Genomic DNA, 3,417 nt, shown 5'->3' with positions numbered 1-3,417 from the left:
TTAAAAAAATCAGTGATGAGACTCTAGTCTTCACTAACTTTTTTGGCATCTTCAAGAGGCACAAAGGAAATGAGGAACTGGAAATTTAAAACAGGGAAATAAATATCAGTTCGTATTTGCTTTGACATATGCATGACATTGGGCCAGTTAACTTCAGTATCTCTGGATTGTAAAATGGTGTTTTAGTGTAGAACTAATACCTGAGAATTATGGAGAAAATGGAGAGAAAAGGGCTTCCAATTCAGGTTATCTATGAAGAGCATATTTTATTCTTACAAGTGTCTGAAAATGCCTGGTATCATTACTATTCACCATGAGAACTTTTGGAAGTATGACCACTAGTACTGTAAAGAAAAAAAAAATCCAATATCTGTGAAAGATTATTCATCCAAATAATGTACCCTCTAAAATTAAAAAATCACAGGTAGAGCTGTATTGTATTGGCTCATAAAATGCCTGAAATGGACAGAATACAGATTCTGGTCAGAGAGTAATAGTTTTCCTCTCCTATTTTAGATTCTGAACAGGCTCAGAAGATCATAAAGTTTTTTAATACAGGGTTTTGAATATAAAGTCACTTGGTCATAATACAAATATTGGTATCTGCCTGAGGAAAATTTTGTGCCTTAGTGATATGCAAAAACGCCTTCCTCTTTAGAGTTCTCCTTTCTTCATTCCCCATTTATTCCCATTGTAATCTTTTTCCTCTATCTGACATACTCCCTCTAGTGTTCCCTGGATGAAGTACAATAGCTAAAGTTCAATTTACAAACAAAATCCTATTTCTGCAATCTCTCAATGTTTTCCCCATTTACCATACACTAAAGCAAATTTAGCACCAGATGTTTTGGCCTTGTGAGCTGTAGGTGACAGCAAGAATTTTTAATCAGAGAGCCTCAAACTTAGTGGAATCTTGTATTCCAACTTCAGATCCTCAAAGAGGGCATTTATTTCTAATCTGATTGTTAGGGTTAGGTTCCTTCTCTGCCTTTGAATCCTTGTATTGGAATTTACTTTTATTGTGATATGCAGAAGGGGAAAAGATACTCTCATGAACTAAAGCGTGCAAGCAGGCATTTCTTTGACATATTTCCCAGGGTTAGAACTTACACTGATTCTTCTAAATTACCTAAGAGATTCAAGGCATTTTGACTTAAGAAAAAAGCGATTAATTTTTTAATGGCTTTACAAAAACCATAGGCATATTCTCAGCCACAGAAGCTCTTAATCAAACCAGGAGGAACAACCACTTGGGAGGTGTATTTCTTATGGGCATTTTTTCTTTACAGAAAATAAACACTTCCAAAGCTGTCAGCTGCCATTGCTGCTACTTTGGAAATCAGCCACACCCAAGATGTAGTTATAAGAGCTAACTACAGGCCAAGGTCATCTGGGGATCCAGCCAGCCTGCTCACAGGCATGGCACCCCAACCTGGCCACAGTGCATGGGCCTGCCAATCCAGGCAGGCCAGCCCAGACTGCTATTTTAGGTTGGAGTTCCCAAAAGAAGGCCCTTGACTGTCCTTCACACTACTGGCATTCAGCTTTGTACTTAGCCATTCTGAACCATTATCTACTCTATGCCCTGACTGCTTCTCTCCTTTGAAATATCCTACCTCTTTGGGGAGCCCCATAGGAGGTTGATAGATATGTCAAATTGTAATATTAAAATGATTATTTTGTTTAATAACACAAAGCTCACCCATACATACAGCTCTGCTACATCAGGTTACTTCAACCAAGTGCCTGAGCAGGAAACCTCAGGTTTATTTGTCCTCCTCCTTCACCTGGATCTGCCATTGATCCTTTCCTCTTTCATGTCCACTGGCATTATAGTTCATCCACATTTGCCTAGACTGCTACACTAACTTTCCAGGCGATCCCCCTCCCTCCAATTCACCAACGTTCTACCATTGGTTATCTTTCAAAATGACAAATCAGAATGCATTTCTCTTCTGTTTAAAATTTTTCACTGGTTCCCTATCATATACAGGATAAATTTTGAATTCCCTACCGTCTTAGTCTGTTCTGTGCTTCTATAACAGAATACCACAGACTGAGTTATTTGTAATGAACAGAAATTTGTCAGCTTACAGTTCTGGAGGCTGGGAAATGCAAGATCAGGGGCCAGCATCTTGTGAGGGCCTTCTTGCTCCATCATCCCATGATAGAAGGTGGAAGAACAAGACAGGGTGAGACAGAGGAAAAAGAGAGCTCAACTTATCCTTTTACAATGAACCCCTCCCATGATAATGGTGTTAATCCATTCACGAGGGTAGAGCCCTCATGGCCTGATCCCTTCTAAAAGGTCCCACCTCTTAGTGCTGTTACAATGGTGATCAACTTTCCAACACAAGAACTTTGGAGAACACAATCTAACACCTACAGCACCTAGACTGCTATTCAAGATTATTTGAGATCCAGAAACTCCTGCCCACTTTTCCAGCCTCATCTCTCATTATTCCCTCCATACCATCTTTCCCTCCTCACATCAATATACCCTATGCTTTGGCCAAACTAAGTATTTATTGTTCCCCAAACCCATAGTGCTTTTTCATGTCTCCAGATCTGCCTAGTGGAATCTTCTCCTTTTCTTCAAGAATCCAGTTGAGCATCACTTTCTGATGGCGTTTTCCCTGACTCCTCACTCAACTTATGTGCATATGTATGGTTAGTTCCTTCATCTATGGTGCTCCCTGGGCAGTTACACACTCTTAGTTTTTGTATATCTCTCTCTCTCTACACACACACACACACACACACACACACACACACTTTGAACCCTCCTATTAGGCTGTGGAGTTCTTATTGAAGGGACTTAATGTTGATTTTTGTGTTCCCAATATCAAGAGCCATATCTAAATTAAATCTGTAAGTAAATATTGTTATATTAAGTTAAAAAAATTTAAACCTCATAAGCAAATCAGCTAGCTGCATTCAAGAAAATATATTTGAATCCAATTCCTGCCTTTACTTATGTCTTTCACTAAGTAGAACTTGACTTACCAGGTTCCAAGTTGGATTGTAGTCTAAGGCACAATATCTGCACTTGAGGAAAATTGATGTTTCTGCCAAAAAATGAACTAGAAAACTCTTGGGGACCAGGGAATTAGATCGGAGAAAAAGAGGCAAGAGCAAGGATGTGCTGGGGCTGGCTTACTGCCCCATGTGAACAGTCCAATTTTTGAAGATTTAGGAAGCAAAGAGGCTGTTAAAATTGAGAAAGACACCATTCATGGCTCATACATATACTATGCCTCTAGGCTATCTCTTCTTTATTTAATCTATGTACTCTCCACTCACCTATGCAATTCCCAACTTGGATGTAGGCTTAACCTGGTAAATTTGACTTCAAGATCAATAACCAGCACAGTTCCTACTTTTGCTTTTCCTGATTTGTAATTTTCACTGCCTATA

This window comes from Homo sapiens, chromosome 2 (genome assembly GCF_000001405.40).
Source record: "Homo sapiens chromosome 2, GRCh38.p14 Primary Assembly".
Lineage (NCBI taxonomy): Eukaryota > Metazoa > Chordata > Mammalia > Primates > Hominidae > Homo > Homo sapiens.
The sequence above is the reverse complement of the archived record's forward strand: the minus strand, read 5'-3'. Positions refer to the sequence as shown.